The sequence below is a fragment of the Homo sapiens genome, chromosome 3 (genome assembly GCF_000001405.40).
Source record: "Homo sapiens chromosome 3, GRCh38.p14 Primary Assembly".
NCBI lineage: Eukaryota > Metazoa > Chordata > Mammalia > Primates > Hominidae > Homo > Homo sapiens.
In genome coordinates, this window is record NC_000003.12 from 64,643,584 (window position 1) to 64,671,244 (window position 27,661).

General features: G+C 38.4%; 1 protein-coding gene across 5 annotated transcripts in view; it reads right to left on the minus strand.

Annotated features, from left to right (window-relative positions):
* ADAMTS9 (ADAM metallopeptidase with thrombospondin type 1 motif 9) overlaps positions 1-27,661 on the minus strand; it is a 172,347-nt gene that overhangs the window by 127,930 nt on the left and 16,756 nt on the right. For 3 of the 5 annotated variants that reach the window (XR_245151.1, XR_007095712.1, NM_182920.2), the window contains exons 4-11: positions 14,919-15,208; positions 12,209-12,292; positions 11,993-12,108; positions 10,989-11,029; positions 10,770-10,875; positions 7,434-7,580; positions 6,054-6,195; positions 4,357-4,461 (exon numbers count right to left, since the gene is read on the minus strand). Coding sequence is in view for 2 of the 5 variants with exons in the window: in NM_182920.2 (NP_891550.1) it covers positions 4,357-4,461; positions 6,054-6,195; positions 7,434-7,580; positions 10,770-10,875; positions 10,989-11,029; positions 11,993-12,108; positions 12,209-12,292; positions 14,919-15,208 (1,031 nt within the window). In the remaining 3 variants the exon portion in view is untranslated. The remainder of the gene's footprint in view (positions 1-4,356; positions 4,462-6,053; positions 6,196-7,433; positions 7,581-10,769; positions 10,876-10,988; positions 11,030-11,992; positions 12,109-12,208; positions 12,293-14,918; positions 15,209-27,661) is intronic. The other 2 variants (XR_007095711.1, NM_001318781.2) reach the window with 1 other exon arrangement.

A 27,661-nucleotide genomic window follows, 5' to 3' on the forward strand; every position in this document is an offset into this window, starting at 1 on the left:
CTGGGACCACAGGTGTATGCCACCATGCTCAGCTAAATTTTTTTATCTTTTATAGAGACAGTTAGGGGTGGGGGTCTTAGTATGTTGCCCAGGCTAATCTCAAACTCCTAGACTCAAGCAATCTGCCCTCCTTGGCCTCCCAAACTGCTGGGATTACAGGCATGAGCCAACACACCTGGCCTACTAATTAGATTTTTTAATGCTTTTTTTTTTTCATACTAAGTCTTCAAATCCTGGGATGTATTTTATACCTAAGCACATCTCAGTTCATGTCGACATTTTAACATAGCCACACGTGGCTGGTGGCCACCATATTGGACACAGCAGGTCTAGACAGACAAAACTTAACAAAATACAACAGGTCTCACTGGGACTGGTAACTCTTTTACAAAATAACTCTGTGGCCTTGGGTGAGTCCTTAAAGTCTGTTTCCACAATCAAAAAATGGGGACCTACTGGCCAAAATTATTTGGAGTATAACATGGGACAAAGTATGTAACATACTTAGTATACAACTTAGCACATGGGGGACCCCACTTAAATAACAGTGGCAATGATAATGGCAAACATGTACACTGCACTTAATATTTGTCAGGCACTGTTCTAAGCATTATATATACAAACTTAGTCCTCACAACACACTACGAAGTAGGTACTATTATTACTTCCATTTTTACGAAAAGAAAATGAAGGGACAGAGGAGTTGATGCCAAACATCACAAAGAGGCAGGAATGGTACTGAAATATAGACAAGACTTAACAGTGCATACTCTTAACTGGGACACATGCTGCCTCTTAACTGTGAGCAAAGGGGACAATTTCCGACATCTAAATAAGGACTGAAGTTTTCACCAAAAGTAAGATTAATGAGATGGCTAGGTAAGACTGAGACTCCAGATTATTCACTCAATATCCATCCTCCCCTTTATCTTGGCAATAGAACCTATATTTTCCAAAGTTTCCCTACGGATAGAGGTGGTCAGAGAGATGTAAGCAGAATTCACTGGGTAGGATTCCTGAAGAGGCCCTTTGAACTCTTTGGCTTCATTCTGCGGGGAAGTCAGACTCCATGGCTGGAGCAACCACAGCCATTTTGTACCTTGAGGACAAAATTAAGGAGTTTTCTGGAAATACATTTTTTCCCTCTTAACACTTCAGACTTCAGTTTCTGGATCTCTTTATTCTATAGATTTTACTTCCACACAAGAGCAAATTCCAAATGACCACTCTTCTCATTAAGCATTACTATAAACATTGGAACAAAACAAGGGGGTAGGTTTATCAGAGCGCTACCATCTAGCACTGCACTCAAATGTCCTCATAGTTGCTTTTTAAAAGAAAACTTCTAATTCAAAACTGATATGGAAATTAAATATTTCTCAGTAATATGACCATTGACAGGTGTCCAAAAGAAAGGAAGAACTTCAGAGGAATATGAAAAGTGTCTGATATGACAGATGCTGGGAAGGGGGTCTGTTTGGGAAACATGCACCAAGATAATCTATTTTACCAGGCAAATTCTACAAATAATAATCACATAGCAAAATTACTATTACATTATAACAAAACATTAAGTGGCTGGTGAAATAAGAGCCAAAATAAAGTCAGCCTTTATTTAAAATGTCCAAAACCATTTAAATAATATTTTATAGAAATGTATCTTTTTAAGAGGTTGGAATGGGGACTTGGAGGTTGATTTTGTCCAAATGAAACTTGAAACAAAAGAGTTTCAAACCTCAGACTCACAAATAAGTTTAAAAGGAAAATGCTAATGGACTTAAGAGAGTGGAGAAAATAAAGAGACATTAGTGAGTCATTCATCAAAATAACATTGTGTCAGCAGCCCAAGACAGATTACTGCTGCAGGAGCAGAACAGAAAGAAGAAAAAGAAAGAAAAAACATTAACCCAGCAGCCAAGGGAGGCAGAATGTGCTAGCATATAGAGAAAAGGCACATACTGGCAACTCTATGAAAAAGAAACAAAGCAAAACACTCAGAGAATTTCTATGCCAATATATTCACCTTCTTTGGCATTTCTAGAATGTGTAAATACTCTTCAGGATATTTATATATATCCACATCTTTAATAAAAGCTGCTAGACATGGCCACTTTTCTAAAACAACTAAAAATGGATCTATCATTTTCTCTGCACAGTTCTTCTCCAAAAGCATCCTGAGCCTGCCTTGGGAATGCCTTGAAGGCTCCTGCTCTTGCTACAAGCACACCCACTTGCTTGTGTTTAGCAGGAGCAGGGTCTGCTGAAAGCTCTCCCGAAGCTCCCCATCCCTCAGAAGATAGAAAATTACCCTACGATCCCTCCTCTTCTGCAAAAACAGAAGATTGGGAAAAGACATAATTGACATCCTCCAAGTTATTCTGCATTCCAGAATTGGTTGGGTAACCATACTGCTATCTGGAGCTTGACAGCACGTTCATGACAGTTTTACTAAATGCAAGTCATTTCATCACATGATTGAAAATTTTTCGTTGTTGTGTTTCTTTTGCAGCAATAACATGTGTCAGAAATAGACATAGTGGGTGGATCCATCAGGTTAAGAACCACAACTAAATACCAGTGATTTCACTGAGATCAAACAGATTCAATTTAAGTAATATAATGGGCTGGTTCTAACCCAAGCCAACTAACCAAGTTGTCAAATAGGTATCATGTTTATTGTCATCTCCTACCAACTGGTAGCAGTTGTTTGGGTCTTTGTGTTTAGAAGGACTCTGAGGCCACATCTTGATTTTGTAAGAATGAGTGTCATATTCAATTTTTAATGGCTGCCATGGATTCTTTGACCAAAATATGATTTTGTGGCCACCAATCCACTAAGTTACATGTCTTGCAAAGATTCAACATGTCTTGCAAAGATTCACTCTTTGGCCAAAGAGATATATTTCCCTTTAAACCAATGAAAGCTCTAGAAGCTATTACGCTTGTATCCGTATAAACTTTGTGTTAGGTTGCTATTGAGGAAAGCTGTATTCTCAGTTGATGAGGTCCCAGCCATAGAGAAATGAGAACATGAGCTGACTCTGTTGCCAATTTAAGTCAAATACAAAAGTATCTTCATTATAAGTTTTTATTTTCGCATTGGACTTTATATTTTTAAACTTTCATATCCTCAGGATCCTTTAACACTGAAAAAACCACTAGTCTTCCTCTTTGACCAGCAGAAACTATAGGAGCTCAGTGAGCTTCAGTTAGGGCCACTCCAGTAGGCCCTGCTGCCCCTTCAGACAAAGCAGTAGAGGAAATGAGGGTGGGGAGGGGCTGCACCAAATGATCTGAGTGACTGTGGACAAGTTACTCATTGTGAGACAAGAAACTGAGAAGTTTCTTGTCTATAAGATCAGGGAACAGGGAATTAAGTTCCATCATCTCTTAGGACTTCTTCCACAGAAACATTCTGGGTGCTACCAATTCTATAAGGTAAAGCGGAGGAAAAGGAAATGAGATGAGAATAAATTATTAAAAGTAAGTAAAGTGGACAATGGAAAGAGGAGGGAAAAAAGGGAAAAATATATATAAGGATAACAAAACACTCAGAAATATCATTCAGAGATTGTATCCTTGGTAAGTTACAGATAGAATGCCAATTTCCATGTGTATTTTTTTTTTAAATCAAGATTTATATCTAAAACTTTTTGTTACCAAATTTTTGGGCTGATGATGGTATCACTAACATGTCACCAATTTTTCTAGATGCACACTAGGTACAGAAGGTTAAGTTAATCATACTCCTAGGTGCATGAGACACTGTTACCATTGGGCCACAAAAGTAGCAGATTTTGTTTATCTATTAACAAATCAGTAGGAACAATTATAACCAGCTCACGAGAACTTGGATTTGGATATATCCTGAATGACATTATAGCTCCTTAAAGGGAACAACACCGGTTGGCAAAAGCCTGGTATCATAGTAGTACCTGCAATAGATGTACTATATTTCTACATTTCCTTGATTCTAAACTGTTCCATCAACTTACCAATAGCTTTCCAGTGCCATCCCCAAAAGAGAAGAAAAAGAAACACAATCTCGCATTAAATGTTCCCATAGGCACACTGTAATTTTAGAAATGTTTAAATGAGAGAAAGTCTTAAGTTGACAGAATGTCTTAATATTGAAGCAATAATGATAGGTATATTCTCTGGTATCAGCATTATGCTATAATCTAAGTTTCACAATTTTTAATTGTCTAACTTCTAAACATCTGTCCTCTAAAAAATATTATGCAAGCTAAAACAGACTGCATTGTCTTATATTCTAAACATCGGTGTCTGATCATACACCCAAAATCTTGCACATTTCTGCCCTAAGACAGAAGGACAGAACAGGGCATTACTTGCCTTTCCAGGCTCGCACTCCGTCCCATCGGCCCAGGGTGTGTGCTGAGTCCGGCAGCCTTTGTGTACTCCATTGACGTTATTGCACCAGAGCCGTCTGCACTGCATCTGCTCAATTCAATGAAATGGCAATTGAGTGACAAGTGATTTATTTGGCAGTATCAAACAAAGCAAAGCTTGCTTTCAACTAATGTTTCACCAATGACATAGGGTAAGTGGGGAAGGAAATTCTTTTCTTGGTATGATAAATGCTAAAATATAGACAGCAGCCCATAAAACACATTTCTATCCCTGGTAATGGATACCCATGTACCCACCACCAAGCTAAGGAAAGAAAACTTCACAGACACAGCTGAAGGCCCTATGTACTCATCCTAGGTTCCTTTCCCTTCCTTTTCCTACCAGAAGTGACCACAGTCCTGAGTAGTGTTCATCACTTCATCATTTCCAACACTTTTACTACAAATGCATATAAATCTCCAGTAATAGACAGCATTTAAGCTTTACAACTGCACCATACTGACATATCCTACAACTTGCTTTCTTCCTCCTCTAAACACTCTGTTTTTTAGATCTATTCCATTTGCTATATTTAGCTCTATTTCAGGGCACAATTTTAAAAGATTTTTTATCTTTCCTAATTATTAAAATAAACCACACTTATAGTAGAAAAGTTGCACAAGTATTAAAAGTTTATTTTTTTAAATAGAAAAAGTTTCAAACTACCCAGTCTTTTCTGTAGCTTTTTCTCCCCTTTTAGAGTTGAGATCATACTTCATAAAATTGTTTATCTTGTTATCTTAACTTAAAATTATAGCAGGAGCATGTTCCCAGATGTAGATCATTTTCAATTGCTATAAAAGGGAGACCCTATAATTTGTTTAACCTTTCTTTTGCTTGGCATTTCAATGACTCCTAATTTTTCCTATCATGAATAACACAAAAACAAATATTGCCATGAATCAAGTTTACTCAAAATTTTGTTATTATTTCCATGGAATACTATTGTACTTCTCAATTCACCAGGCAATCTCTGAAGACACTCCCAGCAAAAGAAACACACATACGCCACCCCAAAGAGACAGAATGGGCCACCCCATAGAAACACAGCTCTGCTCATCTGTAACCGGATAACTGCTAGATGTTATCACTGGCCCAAACATCCACAACACATGCAGCAAAACTATCACACAGCCACCCCAGCTGAGGCCCCACCAGAAATGATTTCAAGCCCCAGGTGGTCACAGGATGCTACCTTGACAAGCTAAAACACAGAAACATGTTTGTCTCATGAATTAGCTCTTCTGAATCTAGAAGAGTCCCTATAATTTAGGTCACCTGGACAAGTCGAAGGGCATTAAAGGCAACAAGGAGAGAAAAAAGCTGAGCTCTGTAATTCCCAACTCCGTAACCTTGCTGCCTCTGAGCCTCACTTTCACTTGTAAAATGAAAGTGATGATGGCATCTTCCTTTTGGACTGTCACGAGGATGAAATGAGAAAGTGCAGGTAAAGCACTATTTAACACTGAGCAGCAGTACTGTTGTGTCATCCTCATAATTATTATGATCACTAATATGCAATTTTACTCTCAGCTTTTCCTTGGGTAGTTTATAGTCGAGTTAGAATGCAATGGAAAACTATGAATAAAAAGAAGTGCAGAATCAGTAGATGAGGGCAGAAGTGGCCCTCCTACACTTACCATATATGGGCACACCTGAGAACCTGGTCCAAAAATCAATTCACATTGTTTATTCACGTTGTAAAGGATGCCTGGCAGTTGGACAGGCAAAGGGTAGGGTCTGGATTCAGGTTCGTTAAGCAAACACTCGCCATAACCAGTGCTACGGAAACACACAGAAACACACAGATGGTGAGAACGGTGGCTGTCAAGGTCTCCCCCAGGTAACAGTAAAGGCCACCCCACCATTGTAATGGTAGAGAGGACAGTTACTTTTTAACATGTGCTTTATTCTTTACATCCAAGATTAAATCCAGATGCTGAAGTTACATTTTTGCTGTTTACTTTGTAGAACCACATGCAATGAATACAACATAGCCAGTAGGAAATATACACCTGTTACAACGTTGATCACACTTCACAGCAATTATCTGTTTATGTTTGACTATCTTTCCCAATAGACTGTAAGCTTTCTAAGGGCAAAGATAGTGTCTTTTTCATCAAAGCACAGGGCCCTGTCCATGACAACAGGTGATTAGTAAATGTTTGCTGAAGGGATGCGTGAGCGAATCAATGACTCATAGAAAGAAAACACCTTACACCATCTGGTTAAAAAGAACAACAGCAACCCTCTGGTTCTTTCCGTTTTCAGCAAACACCTCTCCCGGAAAATTCACACCCGTTGAGTTCTGATTGATAAAGCCTCCTCTTCCCCGTGGTTGCAGAAATATACACCCAGTGACTCTGGGACAATCACTTAACCTTTCATACTTCTGAGCGAGAAGAGCAATAAATCTGTGACACAGGGGCATTGTATAATGTAATTGGATCTTTGAGCAGCCTAGCAGGAAGCTTAAAAAACAAAACAAGAAAAGAAAGGAAATGGGAAAAAAGAGAAAAGGGAGAGGGAAGAGGGGGAGAGGAAGAGTGACGCAGAGAGAGAATGTCCTCAACTCAACAATGTGGGAGCTGCTGTAATTTCCACTCATCCACGGAATCTGCTTTGGGATCATCTCACTACCCCACCCCTTTTCAGGCCCAAATTACTAAATTAGAAGTGCATAAATACCTGTGGCCTTCATTAAGAAATCACATTCATAGTCCCTCTCCCAATGTCTGAACAAATCTCAAAACTTTACCCAAAATGAAGCAACATTTCCACATCCTCTTTAAGACTCCAACCTTTTCTTTAGCTCAGTCTGTAATCTTCTAAACTCTGTCAAGGATATGAACTACACAGATGTCAGAGAGCTTTTTTTTTTTTTTTTTGCCTTCTCCAAGGAATGTCAACAAAAATAACTCAAAAGGAATGTTTGACTTCATATTGTCTTTCCCACAATTAGTTCACTACATGTAGGCCAGGCACTAGAAGTTTGTGCTAAAAGAATGTTCAAGTCTTACTCTAAAAACTCAGTGATATATTTTCGACTACACTTTGACCACATCCAGGGGTTGGTGTAGAAGTTCAGTGTTGGAGCCATGACATGCTGGGGACTCTTAACTCCTTCTTCTTTACATTTGTTGTTGTCATCATGAGGCATGTTAAACCTAAAGCCAATGAGACAATGATGAGAATGTCAATAAACACCAAGGGATCATGCTGTTCTAATTGCTTCAGGAATGCAACTATCTAAGAGAAAAAAATTTAACTTCATTTTGGATAAGAACCTGAACCCTGGTAAGCAGAATAAAATGTAAGACAATTCAAGATAGAGTGTAGATTAAAACATAATTCTCACCCAACTTAATACGAAGTGTAAAGGCATAAAATGTATTTTAAAAGATGCAGGCTGGCCCATGTATTTGGTTTAAGTGTACTTTTAGGAATTGCAGAGGCTCTGAATATGCTGTAGTTGGTGCTAGAATACAGTAGTTGGAATTCCTAATAAGCTGTTAAAGGGCAATTTATAGAGTCAAGAATTTGGCAGCTTATGATAACGTGAATATAAAGAGTCAGGGAAGTGTCAAAAACTGAAGCCAAGAGCTTTCTAATAAGAGGCTCACTATGGGTCTTGGCATCTTCCCCTTTTTGGATCAGGGTGACAAATTATATACCTGCGTAGGTATATCATTCTAAAGGCATGCAAAGTTTGTGCACAATAAAACCCATGAAAGGTAGTGGTATGCATGGAAACCAGAAGCATGCCAATTCTACTGGCATAACTCAGAGATGGCAAATAGTTTCATGCTTCATGCCAGCACCAATTGATTGGTACTGGCTTCCTGAAAAGCCAGGCACAAAAGGGTTCTTAAATTAATCCAGGTTCCGCCTGTGAGAAGGCTATGAAGGATTGCCAACGTCCTTATGGGCCTGGAAGGGAATGCAGCAGCATGAACACATATTTGCCATTCTTGGCTTAGCCAGCAGGAGTGGAAAAAAAATAGGAAGTATTTCCTAAATCCAGAAACACCAATTCTGTGACCCACATGCCATTCTCAGCTCAGGCAATTATCTACTGGGTGACAACCTCAGAAGGGTCACCTTCCCTCTCTCTGGATGACTATCCCCAATGCATGTAATTAATTTAGCATTGAGAGAGAAATTCCCTTCACTAGTTCATCTTGATTACAGAAATAAGTGAGTCAGACAGAAGCACATAGACTTGCATCATATAAAAGTTGGAATAAAAGCCTATGGAGTCTATTCCATTAATTTATCACATTTTCCCTTTTTCTTTAAAGTTTATGCCTCTTAATACTTGCCAATAGAGACAGAAAAACTCGATCTTAGTTGAACTTAGAAATAGTTCTTAAAACATGAGACTCCTATGCTTAAGAATCTATTTTCTTAAAAGAACGAATGCCTTGGTTTCCAGTTCCCTGATGCATAATCAATGCAATACCTGCATCAACAAACTTAAAACAAGCAAGGCATTCAAATCTTAGTGGTTTCTTTATAGTGGTGTTTATTTCCCATCCCCAGATGAGGTTTATTCCCCACTCCCACAATTACTTGATAAAGTCAAGTTTATTACCTCATGTAAATAAGCTGAAAATTTATTTTCATTCAAATGTTACTCACATTTGCTCACTGCAGGAGTTAAATAATAATAAATGCTTATTGGACGCTTACGAACGATAATAACCACAACTTTTCAGCATTCACAATGCACCAGAAAATGTGCTAAATGCTTTAGATGCCTTATTTCATTTAATCACTTATTTTACCCAATGAATAGTACAGGTTGAACATCCCTAATCTCAAAACCCCAAATCCAAAATCCTCCAAGACCCAAAACTTTTTGAGTGCTAACCTGACACCAGTGGAAAATTCCACACATAAATGTGTAACACAAACTTTGTTTCATGCATAAAATTATTTAAAAATATCATATAAAATTACCTCTAGGCTATGTGCATAAGGTATACATGAAACATAAATTCCTTGCTTAAACTTGAGTCCCATCCCCAAGATATCTCATTATGGATATGCAAATATTGCAAAAATCTGAGACAATCCAAAATCCAAAACACTTCTGGTCCCAAGCATTTGGGTAAGGAATTCTACACCTGTACTGTTATTATCTGCATTTTGCAGATGAGAAAACTGAGCCACAGAGAGCTTTAATTACTTGATCAAGTCCCACCGCCACTAAGCTGGGGAAGCTGGAATGGGAATTCTCTTCAAGGCTTCCTTGAGTTTCACAAAAGTGCCTCAGAAACCACGAGGATAGAGACGATGCTGACTAAGCAGGTTGGGCCTGCCACAAATGCTTAATGGAAAGCCAGACCTCTTTTATGTTCTAAATATGAGGCATTTGACTGTATTTCCTCTGGAGAAAAGAAAAGGGGTGTGCTCTTAATATATGTTTGAAAGGTACTAGTTTAAAAATATACCTGTTATATATTGAGCTAAATTGGAGACACCTGTGTATATGCATCTCCCTCTGTGCCTCGTACACTACACTGCACATAGGGGACCTTAAATGTATGAATGAAAATCTTGTTTAATAAATGATGTTAGCTCTAAGTAAAGTTACCATCTGCCACACAAATTGATCTATTAATATCCTTTCAGAAAATTATTTCGAAATAGATAGTATAAGTAATTTAATCATCCTAGAAAGAAAATAATGCAGATCAAAACTCAGAATAATTTCTAGTCAATTTGCAGTGTTTTGCCCCATGTTCTAACCGTGCTCTATCTCTAAAAAACAAAAGGGAAAGGCCATTTCATAACGGCCACTTAGTGACCATAATTAGGAAATGATTCCTTCTTTCTATCTTTGTTCATTCTCTTTCCTGAAAAAAGGGATACTACTGTTCCCAGTGCTAAATATCAGAATTAGAGCAGTGTATAACTAGAATCGGGAATGGTCTGGATTTGTAAAAATCTTGGGGGCCACAGTAATGGTGGGGGACCCTCCTAGACAAAGGTGTTAAATCAGGAAAGTTCTCTAGGCTAATATATCCTCTGCTTCAGTAGAAGGAATGGAAAGACCCCATTTCTCCAGTTCCCAGTAGGAAGGGAGAATATTAGACCTTGTGTATTAAACTTGAGCAGTTAAACTGAAGATACACACAAGCTATGACTAAAGAGAGTGCACTGCATTTACTCAACTTTTGGAAGTCAAAGTCATTTCACCTAATTAGGTTCAAAGCTCTTCAACCCTGCAACTCTACTATGACTCGGGAAGTCTCTTACACACTCGAAAGTCAAGTAAATGCTCACTGATGCGAAGGAATAAAAGGTTTAGGTCACTCCAAATTAAATGAAATTACTGAAAGGTAACTCACACATGGCCCAGCTCATGGGCGATCGTAAAAGCTGTACTCAATCCACTATCTTCACTAATAGAACAGCTTCTATAGGGATCACAAATGGTTCCCAGTTCAGCCAGGCCTATTAGAAGGAAAAAAACCAACAAGGATTTACTCTAAAAAGCAACTGTGGCTTGAAATACAAACATGTAGTAAAACGGTTTTAGCCATAGAAGATACGCACAGAGAACTCACCTAAGGTATCACATTTGTCGTGAGCTCTGCAGATATCCTGTCTGAAAGCAAAGCAGACTTAGGCCTTGATGACATCAAAGAGTAAATGTCAATACAAGTAAATACTTTAGGGTCGTCTAGGCATTCACAACAGTACACACTTTGGGGTGGGGGTTAAAAAAAGCAAATTCATAAGACCAGAGTTTCAAAACTCAAAAAATTTTTGGAATTGTTGATTTAAGAATTATAAACTACTACATTAAGAAGTTTTCTTCTGTGGTCAGGGCGGTCACAGAGCAGTAAGAAATCTCTCCAACCAGGATTTTCCCAATACCCTGGGGTAAATGATTCCAGTTTCGTAAAGACTCTTTGAGAACATTCCTGAGAAGGTGCAAGATACCTTTGTTTTACTTTCATTTAAGAGGACGTGCTCATGACCACAATTGAGATGGCAGGAGGTGGGAGGCACAATTAAGCCAGCACGCGTCTTTGTTGCTACAGTGTTTTAACATTTTGAGATAGTAGCTACCATAGAAAACTTGGGAGGTTTCACATTTTTAAAAAATTCATTTTTCTGGCTTTTGCAAAATCACAAAAGCTGGCAACACTGAACTCATATACTACATGGCAACGCCAGGTCCATCTGAACAGCAGCTGCCCTTGCCTGTTATATAAGGCATGTATTTTCAGGTCTGCCTAACACATTTATTCCTCACTTGGTATCTATAGGTTCGTGGTTCTCAACCAAGGTGATTCTGCCCTCCCCACGGGGGGCAGTGGCAATGTCTGGAGACATTGCTGGTTGTCACACCTGAGGGGAGGGAGTACTACTAATACGTAGTGAGCAGAGGCCAGGGATGCTGTTAAACATCTTGCAATGCACAGAAGGAATTGTCCAGCCCAAAATGTCAACAGTGCCTAAGCTGAGAAACCCTCCACTAGCAGCTGACTATTAGGAATGCATGACCACATCCCATCAACTTGACCTGAGACTGAAAGATCTGAGGAATAAGAAATCCATATACCTTGTTAAGAGAACAGCAGTATCATGATGGATTCCACCTGGACTGTTCTTCGAATGCTGCCACTGGCAAAAGTTTTTTAATGTTGTCTGAGCATTAAAAGATATGGAAGGCCCATCCTAAATACAGAGAAGAATTATGGTTAATCTGTTGTACCGATCCCAATTAGATATGCCATTTCGGATACAGATAGAAGAAAAAAGAAAAAAACTTTATTACCTGTTCATTATGAATCACAATTAAGTTCACAATAACAATATTAATTAAATTTCCAATACTTGGGTCTTTATAGATAGAGGCTACCTGCAACCGAGATAAATTTTTCAAAGTTAATTGTGAACTCCGTGTAAGCAATAAGCAAGTCACGTCTTACGTTGGGCTCCACCTCTTTTTTACGTTTCTTGCAACATATGCATTTTGTGGTTGTGAATTTTTCATTCACTCAACAACACTTTTTGTAAAGTCTCTTCATAAAATTCATAGATCACAGTTTTAGATAACAGTGAATTCAAACAAATTTAAATTCCTCTGAAATTGCATTGCCACGTGACTTAACAGTTCTCTGTACCAGAACACTGGATATTAATTTTCCATCAAGCTCTTTCCTCTCATCTGAAGTCCTGGATTGCCAACTTATAGAATCTCACATTGGGTGCACGTTAGCCGACACTGCTATTCTTTAATGTTTGCCACCCATTGTGTCCTTGACAACCTCGTTAACCTGGTGGGGTTTTTATTTTTGCAGTATTATAATTAATTATAGGAGCTAACATTTACTAAATGCTTATTGTGAGCTGGCTGAAAACTGCATACACACATGCATTTAGTCTCTACACAGCGAAACTCTGGGCTGAAAACTAAATACACAAATGCATTTAGTCTCTATACAGCAAAACTCTGGGCTGGGTACTATTAAAATTTCTGTTCAACAAATGAGGAAACTAAGTCACTCAGAGAAATTAAGTCACTTGTCTGAGGCTACACACTGGTGAGTAGAAGAGCCAGAACTCTCAACCTAGGGCAGTTTGACCCAAAGTCCATGTTCATAATCAAAATTCTTAGGAGAGAACTGAAATTAAGAGGTGAAAATGAGGCTGTGCATATGCGCAGGGCCTGATTAGATGTTCCCTTCCCTCATGGGCATGAGAGGGCTGGAGTATCTGGGACTGAGCGGCATGTGGGGGTGAGAGGGGCACGGAGGCCAGGCAGGGTTGGGGGGCGCAGAGGGGAATGGGTCACAGCAGTGAACAAAAAGGCAAGGAGTACCATAGGCCACAAGGGGGGAAGAAGAAACCCTAAAGCTATGCCCAAACAGGATTGCTTTTCACATTCATCTGGGGGATTTATTAAAAATAAGTTTCAGTTCAGGTAAATCAGGGCTCGTCTATTAAAAGAAAAGTTATGCTACGGCTGAAAATGAGAAAGAGGAAGTCTATACGGGCTTTTCTGGACCCATCTCGAATCGTTCAAAAAAACAGCAATGTGTAATACAGTATGTGAAAATGCCTCCTGTTTGAAAAGAAGCTGTATATGCGAACATGTTTGCATAAGAAATACCTAGAGTTGCACTGCCCAACAGTGGCCACCCATCACAAGTGGCTAGTGAGCACTAGTACGTGGCTAGCTCAAATTGAGGTATGCTGAGAGTGTAAAACACACTGGATTTTGAAGCCTTAGTATAAAAAATGTGAAATATCTCATTAATAATTTTTAAAATAATATTTGATATAAAACATATTGCTAAAATTAATTTTACCTGTTTATATTTTACTTTTTCTTTTTGAGGCAGGGTCTCACTCTGTCTCCAAGGCTGATGCACAGTGGCGCAATCAAGGCTCACTGTAGCCTCAAACTCCTGGGCTCAAGAGATTCTCTCACCTCAGCTCCCGAGCACCTGAGCCTACTATAGGTATATGCCACTACACCTGGCTAATTGGTTTTTTTTTTTAATAGAGACCAGGTCTTGCTATAATGCCCAGGCTGGTCTTAAACTCTGGGCCTCAGATTATCCCACCTCAGCCTCCTAAAGTGTTGGGATTACAGGCATGAGTGACTGCACTTGGCCATTTTCTTAAAAACTTTTTCTTTTAATGTGGCTACATGAAAATTTAAAATTAGGAATTTTTTTTAATTTAAATACATTTGAAATTAAATATGTGGTTTGCATTATGTTTCTATTGGGCAGTGCTTGTTAGAAACATATACAAAAACTTTCAACAGTGGCTGCCACTGGGAAGGGGCCTGGAAGTCTGCATAGAGAATGATACTTAGTTTTTAACAATAGACTTTGGTTCTGATTTTTAAAAAATCGTGCAAATTTACTGTGGTTTTAATTCAAAATGGGAGTAGAAAAATAGAATGAAAGCCTCCTAGGCCTCACTCCCCAGGCTACTTAATTAGAATCCTGGGGAAGAGGCTATTTTTAGAAGTTCCACAGGTGACTATGGTTCACAACCAGCCTCCCTAATACTACTGAATATCCACAACTGGCTGTACAAAGTTCCTAAGTGAGGCAAAAAGCATTGGTTTTCGGAACTGGACAAGCTAAAGGCCACAGGCAGCGTCCAAGTGATTTATGAGTGATTTACCTGACCATGGGCAAGTGACCTAACTCCTCTGAGACTCAGTTTTCTTATCTATAAAATGGGCATGATTGATAATCTCACCTGGCAGCGTTGCCAGAAGGATTCAAAATTATACCTTTTAAGTAAGAAGCACATTGTCTAACACAGAATAAACACTCCGTATTGATAACCACTGTTGTCAGTTTAAAAAGGCAACCAACAAATAATCTTATGTTCTCTTCAGTCACTTGCCTGAATGGCTGAAATGCCAGTTCTGAATGGTCCTCCAAAGCACTGAGTGGAAACCCATTCCCCAATGGCACATTTAGAGACCTCATAAATCACCTTCGTTTGAATGTACTTACAATTGACATTAAAGTTAAAATATAGTGTTGAAGGTTTTCTCCATGGTATGAAACCATTCTGTTGTCTGCCACCACCAAGACTTCTACAAACCGTGGATAGGATAAAAAACGTTTTGTCCTTCTGTGGGTCCTCTTTTCTCTTGTGTTGTCCGTCTTATTACCATAAGCAGAAAATGCCTCTGTTGCTAAGCCGCTGTTTAATGCTGCTACGTCACCAGCCAGGTTAATCCTTTCTCCCCATTTTCTTGCTCTGGTTTTCTTCTTGTCTTTACTGTGCCTATTTTTGTGTTCTGTAACAAATCAGATGGTATGCATTACATTTCAAGCCACATCTATTTTATATTAAGAATTTAATTTGACACATTTTAAATTGATCCCTCTGTGGTCAAACTACATACAAAAACAAGTCCTCCATGGACTCTACAGATGCACCTCAATCCGTACTCCCACCTAAGTGACTAAGGATTTGAGATTAGCTTCCCTGGGAAGCTTTCATACTTGCTCGCTTACGGTATTAGAAAATCAGGCCCGAGCTTAAGGGAAACAATTGCACGTGATTCTTATTCATTTGTTAACAAAAGCTTTGCTGGGATTGATTCAAGGAATCTCACGCTCACTGTTATTTGCCATAGATATAGTAAGGGCCAGTAACGTAGCTACAGAGCTCTGAAAAACTTAAATGGAGGCTGGGCACGGTGGCCCATGCCTGTAATCCCAGCACTTTGGGAGGCCGAGGCAGGTGAATTTCATGAGGCCAGGAGTTTGAGACCAGACTGGCCAACGTGTCGAAGCCCTGTCCTTACCAAAAATACAAAAATTAGCCAGGCATGCTGGTACACGTCTGTAATCCCAACTACTCAGGAGGCTGACGCACGAGAATTGCTTGAACCCAGGAGGCAGAGCCTGACGTGAGTTTAGATTGTGCTACTGCACTCCAGCCTGGGTGAGACAAAGGGATACTCTGTCTCAAACAAAAAAAAAAAAAAAAAAAGGAAATGTTTCATATATATCACTCCTGCTATTCAATGAGTTCTAATACAAAGAGGTCTGAGAAGTGGACAGGCTAACAGACGATACAGAGGAACTGTAGAAAATGCACAACCAGGTATTTTATTACATTATTAGATCATTTCAATACTTAAAATATTAGAATCACAGCAATTCAATGTCTCTGAATTTTTAATTAACTTACTCCAGGGCTCAGTTAAGGAAATAAATTAAACTCCGAGAGTCTGGGCAGGCAGCTGGGACCATGATTTATAATGTCAGATTAGCTCTACTCATTTCCAGCTCATGCCTAGGCCTCTTCTTGGGTTCTCCACAGTCTTGCTGCTCAGAGTAGGGTCCGTGGACCAGCAAAATTGACAATTAGAAGCTTGTTAAAATGCAGATTCTTTGGCCCCACCCCAGGCCTGAATCTAAACTTAACTAGATCCCCAGGTGACTGATATTAACACTGAAATTTTGAGAATCACTAGTTTCCAACTTGGCTTGAAGTTTATATTACTGATGAAAATACTGAATTTTTGCATCATCAACTATGCAATAAACAGAATAAGCATTAAAGTGCCTGCCAAAATATACTTTGAGTAAAAACAGAATTTCATCAGTTAACTTGACAATCAGATCATAAATGTGCTTTAATGCTTTAATGCCACCAGTTTGTGGTCTAAAATAGGCAACAGAATTGTACAATGAAGAAGTATGCTTACCTAACACATAAGGAATAGAATTTGTTACATCAATACCAAAGGTAAAAATAAAAATTAAAAACAGTTAAATTTTAAGTGGTTTCATATTAGAAGGGCCTAAATATTTGACCATTATAACCAATTGCTAAAAGAATCAGTTTAGGCCAGGATGTGCATTTTGCCTGAGTGTTTTAGTCATTATTAAAATACAGTGGTCCCCCCTTTTTCATGGTTTCGGTTCCCTTGGTTTCAGTTACCTGCAGTCACCTCAGTCCTTAAATATTAAATGGAAAATTCCAGAAATAAACAATTCATAACCTTTAAATTGCATACCATTCTGAGCAGTGTGATGGACTCTGGCACTATCCTGCCCCATCCTGCCTGGGGCTGGAAATCATCCTTTAAGGTAGCTATATACACACCCCACCTTGTCACCTAGTAGCCATTCCGGTGATCAGATCGACTGTCAAGGTATTGCAGTGTTGTGTTTAAGGAATCCTTATTTTACTTAATGACAGCCTCACAGTGCAAGAGTAGTGATACTGGTAATTCGTATTAAGCCAAAAAGAAGCTGTAAAGTTCTTCCTTTAAGCGAAAAGGTGAAAATTCCCAACTTAATAAGCAAAGAAAAAAAAACGTTGCATGCTGAGGTTGTTAAGGTCTATGATAAGAACAAATCTTCCCTCTGTGAAATTGTGAAGAATGAAAAGAAGCTGGTGCTAGTTTTGCTTTCGCACCTCAAACTGCAAAAGTTACGGATACAGTGCGCAATCAGTTTATTTAAGATGGAAAGGCATTAAATTTGTGGTTGGAAGACAGGAACAGAAACTTTCTGGCTGATGGCAATCAGATTGGTACTATGTGTGGTTTTAGACATCCACTGGGGATCTTGGAACATATACACCAAGGGTAAGGGAGGACTACTATAGTAAAATCTGAACAAACTGTCAAACAAGTTTTATGCAGTCCAGTTATAGATAATATCGCTAGCCAAAAACCTGGTACATAAGATGTAACATTAGATTCTTCTTCTAGTTTTTCTTTCAAGAACACTCATATATGTATACCAATGCCAATAAGTATTGCATGTCTACCAACTGGCATTTGTATACATATATGAGCTTTCAATATATGCATACCAGGACCAAATCAATTGTTAAATCATCAAATGAATGTAGACTAGATATTAAACAAGCACCTACTATGTACCAGGCATTGAATTCGGCTCTTTTATGTATGTTATCTTACTTACTCCTTTCAAAGTGAGAAAATTACCTGTATTTTCCCGATGAGGAAAATAAGTCTCAAAGAAATTAGCAACTTATTCAAAGTCACATTGCAGGAAGTGGAGGTACAAGGAATCAGTCGTAGATTTGCTCAATTCCCGAAATTGTGCTCTTTCGATTAGGTGAGCTTTCTCAACAGCTACGGTTTGAAATGAGCTCATGATTTGGTGAACAGCTTCCAAAGTAAATATGAATTGAGAAAAAGACAGTGCCTGGTGGATATTTTCACGAAGATTTTTGCTTTTTACAACAGGTGTATGGAAGCTATGTTGAAAATTAAATTTTTTTAATACATTAAGAAAGTATATCACTTATACTGTGAAAAATAAATAGTCCTTGCTTAATGTCTTCTGTAAATATTACAATTTGATTTATTATAGTAAGTAAAGTGTTAGACATTTTAGAAGATTTAAAGTCTCTATTAGTTTTCTATTTCTCATTTGTTGATTTCTGCTCAAATCTCGATTTCTTTTCTTCTGCTTGCTTTAGTTTTAACTTGCTCTTTTCTTTCCGTTGCCTTAAAGTAGAAGGTTAGGTTATTGCTTTGAGACCTTTCTTCTTTCTTCATAGAAGTATTTACAGCTCTAAAGTTTCTTCTAAGCCCTGCTTTGGCACCATCCCATGTTTTGGTATGTTGAGTCTTCATTTTCATTCATCTCAAAATATTTTCTGCTTTCTCCTTTGAATCATTGTTCATTTAGGAGTGTGCTGTTTAATTTCCACATACTTTTGAGCTTCTCATTTTTTGTCTGTAATGGATTTCTAATTTTGTTACATTGTGATCAGCAAATATGTTCTGTATTACTTTTATCCTTTTAAACGTATTGAAATTTGTTTTATGTTCTTGCATCTGGTGTGTGCTGGAGAATGTTTCATGTTCACCTCAGAATACTCTGCTGTTTGTGGGGTAACGTGTCCAATAGATATCTCTTAGTAGTTGGTTTATAGTGTTGGGCAACTTTTCTACTTCCTTGTCAATCTTCTGCCTGGCTGCTCTATCCATTATTGAAAGCGGGGTGCTGAAGTTTCCAATTATTGTTGTTGAATTGTCTATTTGTCCCTCCATTTCTGTCAGTTTTTGCTTTACATATTTTGGTGTTCTGTTATCAGGTGCATACATGTTTATAATTATTATATCTTCCTTATAAATTGACTTTTTTATCATTATAAAACACTTTGATGGACTTTATTCTACCAGGAAAGTTAAAGAAGCCAGTCACAAAAGACCACACATCAAAGGTCTCCAGTCATAGGAAATGTCTAAAACTGGGAAATCTACAGAGACAGAAAGTAGAGTAGTACAAGTTGGGTATCCCTTATCTGAAAACCCCAAATCCAAAATGCTCCAAAATTCAAAACTTTTTAAATGCTGACATGACACCACCAAGTGGAAAATTCCACACATAAGTATTTAACACAAACTTTATTTCATGCACACAATTAATAAAACTATGGAATAAAATTGCCTTCAGCCGATGTGTATGAGGTGTATATGAAAGATATATGTTTAGACTTGGGTTCTATGCTCAAGATGTCTCACTATGTATATGCAAGCATCCTAAAATCCAAAAAAACCCAAAATCTGAAAGAATTCTAGTCTCAAGCATTTTGGACAGAGATGGAGTGGGGAGATGGGAGTGTGGTTAGCTAAAAAGTACAGATTCTTTTTCTCAAGTGATAAAAATATCCTAAAATTGACTGAAATGATGATTATACATATCTGTGGATATACCAAAGAATCATTAAACTGTACAGTTTAAATGGGTGAATAATATGTATGGGACTTATACTTCAATAAAGCTGTTTAAAAAAGAGAAACTATATCACTAAGTTTGTGAAAAGTAAATAATCCTTAATGTTTTCTGTAAATATCATGATTTTATTTATTGGATTTACTTAGAGAAGAGTACTGCAGTGAGAACAACACTCAGGAAATGTTGTATGGAATTCTTTTTTTTTTTTTTTTTGACCACTAAGGGGAAAAACAAATGTACTATCAGAATCATCAGAGGGGAAAAACAAATGTACTATCAGAATCATCAGAGAGGACTTGGGCACAAGAAAACCTGCAGATGAATCAAGGCCATAAATGGAAACAAAGTATACTTATAAATAAAATCAAAGAAATGAAGGCATTAATCAGAAAAAGGCTACAATTTCTACCAGCAAACAACTCATGTAATTGTAATATTTCTGGAGGATATTTCACCCACAAGTAATCTGTGTATCGAAGAAATAATTCAGCATACTTTAGGTGGCATGAAAATGTAAAACCCAAATTATTTCTTCAGGATCAAAAGCAATATCTTCTAAAACAGAATGGTCCTCAGTCTTTTATCAATTTGACCTTTTTCTCCTAATGAGTTAGAATGATATTTATTCACCTAACTGGTCCAACTAATTTCTATCACATTAACCATTTTAGCAAGCAACTTTGAATTTCTCATTAAAAATAGCATTAAAAATAGACACTATATCTTATATACCCACTCAACTCTGTTGCTTCTGAATAGAGTTGTAATAACAGAATAGTTTTCACCAACGGAGTACACACTGTTAGGATAAACAGAAAGTGATCCACATTTCTCTTTTGTGAGCTTTTAGTATAATGCTAAAGGAGGAATAGAGGCTAGTGTTTCAGGAATTTGCAAAGTCACTTTGCTTACAGTTTAATCAGAACGGGCTACCTAATAAAATTTCACTGTCCTGGAAAGCACTGAAAAAATGGTCTGTGTATTCTTGCTCTTCTTTTTTTCCTCCTACGTAGTTTTACATTTATGATTAATTTTTAATATTAGTTTGGTAAGATTATTTATATACCATACAATTTTCAAAGTATGAAGTTCAGTGGTTTTCAGGATATTCATAGAGTTCCACAATCATGGCCACCATCTAACTTTAGAATATTTTCATAATCCCAAGGAGAAATCCGATACCTCTTAGCAGCCATTCCATTCTCCCCTTTCCTCAGCCCCTGGCAATCACTAACCTATATTGTTCTATTTATGAATTTGCCTATTCTGACATGTCATGTAAGTAGTCATACAATATGTGGCCTTCTGTGACTGGCTTCTTTCACTTAGTACAATGTTTTCAAGGTTCGTCTATGTTGTAGCATGCATCAGTATTCCATTACTTGTTACTGTTAAATATTCTACTGTATGGATATACCACATAATGTTTATCCATTCATCATTGGTGGACATTTGGGTGGACATTCAACCCAACTGAATAAGAACATTGCTGCTATGAACATTCATGTGCAAGGTTTTGGGTGAATATATTTTTGTTCTTCTTGTGTATATACATAGCCGCAGAGTTGCTAGGTCATACAGTAACTCTATGTATAACATTTTGAAGAACTGCCAAATTGTTTTCCAAAGTGGTTACACCATTTTCTTGCTTCTTCTTGAAGTTCAAATAAGACACTTCGAAACAGGACATCATTTTTTCATGTTTCTTTTTCTTTGAGGGTTCCTCAAAAATTAATCATGTTTACTTAATTAAATAGCTTATGAAGAACCTGGCCCAGCTCAAATCCTAAAATAGCATATTGATGCCTCCAAGTAGTAAACGCATGTTTGCATTAGAAGAAAAGTGTAATACTTAGCAATCTGAATCCTCATATATGCATCTAAATAAATTTAGACGTGTTTAAAAAAGCTCTAACTGGCAACTGTATGTTTCCTATCGCCACATCATAGGTATTACAGTTCTCACATTTTATTACAAGGACATGAGTTAATACAGGCTTTTGCAACTACTTTGGCGTCGATGCTCACAAAAGGGAAGTAGTCACGCTTACACTGCCACAAACAGCCAATGTTTGAAGAACTCATGCAATGAAGGGAGGGAGGCCCGATTTAAGTCCTATTTGACCTTGGGCAAATAACTGACTCCTGCTCACCCTCCGTCCTCCCACTTACAATGTGGAGTAAGAACAGTACCTATTTCATAGAGTGGCTTTGAGGAATAATTGGAGATCATGCATGCAAAGGGCTAGCACAGTGCCTAGTGCATAGGAACGAATGAATAAATATCATTATCATATTTTTCTATTTTTTGCCAGTCACAAAGTCATAAAGTGAGTTGGAACTAAAAGGAACCATTTAAGGTAGAGTGACTAAGTGTGCTTAAAAACAATTTTCTGGCTTACATTAACAATTTCAAAGCCATGAGCTGTATACTCCTAGTGGGGCAAATCAGCACAGAGTGTGCCTGATTGCATTTCTGACATCCAACTTTTTAATACTGTGAAAAAAGGAGGAACTACAAAACCAGAAGTGCTGAGGGCTGGTCTTCACCCTACTATCCCATATGAAGGCTCTTTTCTGAGTCACTTCTCTGGGCCTCAGTTTCCTGACCTTTAAATGGGCATATAAATACTTGCTTCCATCTTATGGCTATTTTGAGAATTAAATAAGAAAGCATATAGAGAATTTCTTATAAATTATAAGTTACATTTTTAAAAAAATTCACTCGTGGAACATCGATTTTGTGCCAAGTACTGGGCTAGATAAGTTGAAATAAACAACAGCAATGACAAAACAAGAATAAAACGTGGGTCCAATCTTTTAAAAAAAGGATTACAAAAATTTAAGATAGTATCCTTATTTTAAAAAACCTCACAGCAAAAAACTTTAACATCTGCTGATTTATTGGTAAAAATGTTTTAAATGAGCTTCACTTCACGTTGCAATACAATAAAATGCACAGTATGTTACTAAATAACTGGAATTATTTCAGCAAATACCAGCCAGGCCTCGTTATTCAGTGGTTACTCACTGAAGTGTTTCCTACCAAATGGGGTTGGGCCGAGGAGATCTGAATGTTAACATTAACAGTTGGAAAGTTAATTATTGCTCTCTATTTTGTAAGGTTTATCAAAATTTAACTGAGTTTCCTCAAGGCGCTGGGCTACCTTGTGACTTCACAGAGCACAGGACCAAAGGGAGGATTCAGGAGCAAGGCGAGACCCCTTTCTGCTCCACCCAAGCTTGACAGAGAGAAGGAAGTCTGCACAGGAATCATCTGTGGTGTTCCACTTGGATTCTGGAGCCAGGCCAACCCTGGTTTCCATTCCTCCCCTAAAGCTACTCTAGTTGCCCTTTCTTGTGTCATTTCCTTCTTTAAAGCCTCAGTTTCCTCATCTGTAAAATGATGGTAATAACAGCATACTGCAAAGAGTAACTGTGGAGATTAAAAGAGATAATACATAAAATGCCCTTAAAGCAGGGCATGACACAGAGGACAGGTCCAATACATATTTAACATAATAATAATTATTAGTGGTATTGTTTTACTTGTAGCATGCAAAACATCTGATCTTTATAAATTAGTATATTGACATTCTCAAACAAAACAATTTTGTTTTAGAAAGAATCTTTGATGGGGTGCAGTGGATCCTCCTGTAATCCCAGAAATTTAGGAGGTGAAGGCAGGAGGAATGCCTGAGGCTAGGAGTTCAAGACCAGCATATGCAACATAGGGATACCCTGTCTCAACAAAAATCAACCAAACAAATAATAGTGTGAGCTGTTGTTTTTTTGTTTTATTATTATTTTTTTAAGTGATGTGCCCAGTGTCAAGTAGTGCTACATGCACAGTGCTGACAGTAAATAAATACAAAGAGTGGTGGCAGAAGAGATTGTGGCTAAGACTCACTTTGGGCTGGCCTGAACCTTTATAAACTATGTTTCCATGAGAGTGGTTTATGGAACATTAGTCCCATAAGATAGTTCCAAAAACAAATCAATTAACTTTGCAAAACACTTAACACAGCATGCACATCTGGAACTTTCTCCATGCACATTAGCATTTTAAGAGCCCTGAGAAGTCTTGCAGGAAAGAAACCAGTTTACATGTGCTGAGTCGCATGATTGCCAAACTTACGGGATCTTTGCCAAGTTAAGAGGCAAGTGATGGGGACAGCACCATCACTAGAACTATAACAAGACGCAGGTGGGATGTGTGGATGGGCTTCCCTCTCAGGGAGAGAAGGGCGTGCGAGTGGAAGGCAACAACTGAGAAGCTTCTTGGCTTTTAAGGGGCGGTGGTGGGCAGTGGAAGGTGTCTGAGGGTCCCCTCAATACCTTCTAAGGGGGTGGGTGCCTCCAGCTACCTGGGGAGTTAAATTTGCTGACTTGGGCATGAGAGCTGGGTGCACTACCCCCAAAAGCCCTTCTGTGTCCTTTTCATTCTCCATTCTGTAGCTCCTTCAACTAAGTGTGATAACAACAATGACTATAGGCTATAATCATACTGGCCAACGTTTGTTGAGTTGCTTTTCTCTGTGTCAGGCACTCTCCTAAGCACTTCATATGGATTAACTTGATTATTCCTCAAAGCAACCCGATATGGTAGGAACTATTACCTTCATTTCAGAAATGAGGAAACTGAGGGACACTTGAAATAACTTGAGAAAATATTTAAAGTATCTATTTGAAGTAGTATAAGACGCTGAACATCCCAGGGCCTGTGTTTTACTAAGAGACTATTTAGTTTTGCTATTAATATCCTGCAAAGTACCCTTTAGGAAATGTTGGTTTCGATTCACTCCATCTCTTAGCAGTAGCGGGAGAGTGACCTTTCCGCCTGTCAGGGTGCCAACTGCCCACAGACACCCTGTCCTGGCTGCAGTGCACTTGCCATGGCTGCCTCTCAGGCTGCTTTGTGCCACGGCTTGGCATCTCCCAAGCTTGCACTCTCCAGTAGAAATAAAATGCAAGCCACACGTGAAAGTTAAGAATTTCTAGTAGCCACGTTTTTTTAACGTCAAAAGGAACAGATGAAATTAATTTTAATAATAGAGTCTATTGAACCCCATTATGCAAAATATTATTTCAACATGTGACACTAGCCACATCTCAAGGGCCTCCTGGTGACCGTATAGGATGGTGCATTCTAGGCAGGAAGTGTTTGCAGAGTGTATACCAGAGACAGCGTATTACGGGAGATAAGAGTGTGAGCTCGGGAATCAGAGAGACCCGTGTGTAAATCCCAGCTGCTCTGCATTCAATCTGTGTGACCTCTGGTGAGTCACTTCAGCCCTCTGTGCCTCAGTTTCCTCATCTGTGAAAAGGGAATAATGATAGTTCATGCCTAATAGGGCAGTAGGGAAGGTGAAATGACTTAGTCTACATAAAGTGTCGGAACAGGGCCTGGTGGGTAGGAAGTCCTCTGGAGGCACGGGCTGTGCTGACTCTCATTACTTAGAATGAGCAGCAGGTTAAGGCTGCTGGAACGAAGTGGCTCCCAGGCCTGCCGCTGGGATCTGCCTGCTATCTGACATTTCACTGCAGCTCGTGGGTGGCCCTGAAGCTGAATGTGGTGCCTGTGGTGGGTCTAGGTATCATTCTCATATCAGAGATTAAAGCGCAGTTGGGCTGGAGCTCTTTAAAAAGGCATCTAAGCAACTCGTAGGGAGTGTATCTCCCACATTCTTTTGATACACAGGTCTCCTAGTTTACAGGCACTGAGGACTGGTTTATAAGGCCTGCAGCTGAAACCCTTTTGCATCACAATGTCCATGTTCCATGACCACGGAAGTGAGTGACCACAGGGGCATGCTGTGCTCCAATGACCAGTGAACCTCACTGGTCTTCCTCCCCAGCCACAGGCCACCTTCCCCAATACCCTGGCCCAGCTCAGAAAAGGCTTGATTGGTTTATTTATTTTAAAATCATATTTGGTTGCTGTACACTCAACTCTCGATATGACAACTTAATCCCTTAAATGAATTGAAAGCTTTCTATCTTTCTCTATAAGCTTGAGACAACTTCTTGAACAGTCTCACCAGTTCATTCTTAATTATTCCCACACTTAAATACAATGGCACTTCCCAAAGCTCATTTGAGTCATACTTTTGAACATCCCCTTTCCAGGCACCATCTGCAGCTTTTCCTTTTGTTACAGCCTGGAAAGAACACAGGACTGGGAAGTAAGAGGCCTGTGTTCAATTTTGCCATTCATTCTAGCTCCAAGATTAGGAGTCCCTTCGAAGTTCTGGGCCTTGATCCTCTTATCCATAAAGAGAAGGCCTGGAATAGAAGTTCTCTCTAAAGTTTCCTCCAGTATTAAAAATTTATGAATTCTTATATTTTATAAGATAAAAGTGAATAATGATTAAAAATGAAGTCCTAAGTTTCCAAAGGGGCAAAACCCAACAGAGATTCCCCCTGAGCCACTGTCACTGTCAGAAAGTGTATGGATGAAACAGTCAGCAGGGTGGCAGGGTAGAATAAGACAGAATAACTCCAAAAGAGAGAGAACAACACAAAAGGAGTGGACTTTTGCTGATGTTAAATTATATTAAGGGGAGTACAGTCTACACATCTCCATTACTCACTGGGAAAATTTTATTTCGGACCTGCTAAAACAGATAATAGTTTCTGAAAAACCACTTCTATTTTCTCTAATCTGACTTGTTACAATGAAATAACATGAAATGTAAGAATTAGGAAACTGGCTTGAAAGAAAAAAAAGTATACAATCAAAGATACCGCTGGAAAAGCATTTAAATTGTCCACAAAGCACAGAATGGAAGCTTTCAGGATTTATGGAGTTATATATTCTATCCCTCTTCAGCAGCAGGGCATGTGGTCATAAGGACTGAATCTCATACTATTAATACCAAACTCTTCTACCTCTGTCTCTGTCTCAGTCTCATTGTCCCTCTGGCTCTCTCTTTCTCTCCTGTCTGCATGCACATACACACATGCAACATACATGCAAAACAACACAGTTGCATTCTTACCTATGCAGAGGCTCCCCTGGACCTGTTTTCACCCCTGAGCTAAGACAACACATTCCCATCAAAAAGTACACTGGTTGGACATGGAGAGTTGTGTTTCTGGATACAGATGAGCAATAAAAATAACAACTGCCTTTTCTCTTGGCCTAGACCATGGCTTTGAATAATAAATCCTAAATACACCTCTCCTATTCCATTTTTTGGGCAAGCTCTATACTGCATGCTCCACTATACTTTCTTGCTATGTAGTTCTGGGACTGCATGAAATCTACGGTGCATGAAGTATTGGCGATAAAATAAAGAAGCTATGTATGAAATAAGCATTTGCAAATTAAGAGACTTTTTGAAAGACAAGCCACAATCTGGGAGACAATATTTAAAAACTATATCTGACAAAGGACTTATATACAGAATAAAGAACTTTCAGACTTCAGTAATAAGAAAGCAAATATTCTAAGTTTTAAAAAATGGCTGAAAGACTTGAACAGACGCTTCACCAAAAAAGATACATGGATAGCAAATATGCACATGAAGAAATACTCAATATCATTAGACTTTAGGTAAATGCAAATGAAAACTACAATGAAATTCCACTAAACACCTATTAGAATAGCTAAACTTCAAAAAACAAAAGCAGAACAACAAAATGTTGACAATACCAAGTGCTGGAAAGGATGCAGAGGAACTGGAACTTTCATACCCTGCAGGTGGAGCTACAAAATGGCATAACCACTTTGAAAAATATATTGGCAGTTTCTAATAGAGTGAAACATACATTAACCACACAAGCCAGTAATCTTATGCCTAGGTATTTATCCAAATGAAGTGGAAACTTATGTTCACACAAAAATCTGTATGCAAATGTTTATAGTGGCTTTATTTGTAATGGTCAAAAACTGTCGCTCAAGTGGGTAATGGTTAAAGAAATGGTGATATATCCATTCAGTGGAATACAGCTCACCAATAAAAAAGGATGAAATTACTGATACAGGCAACAATGTGGATGAACCTCAA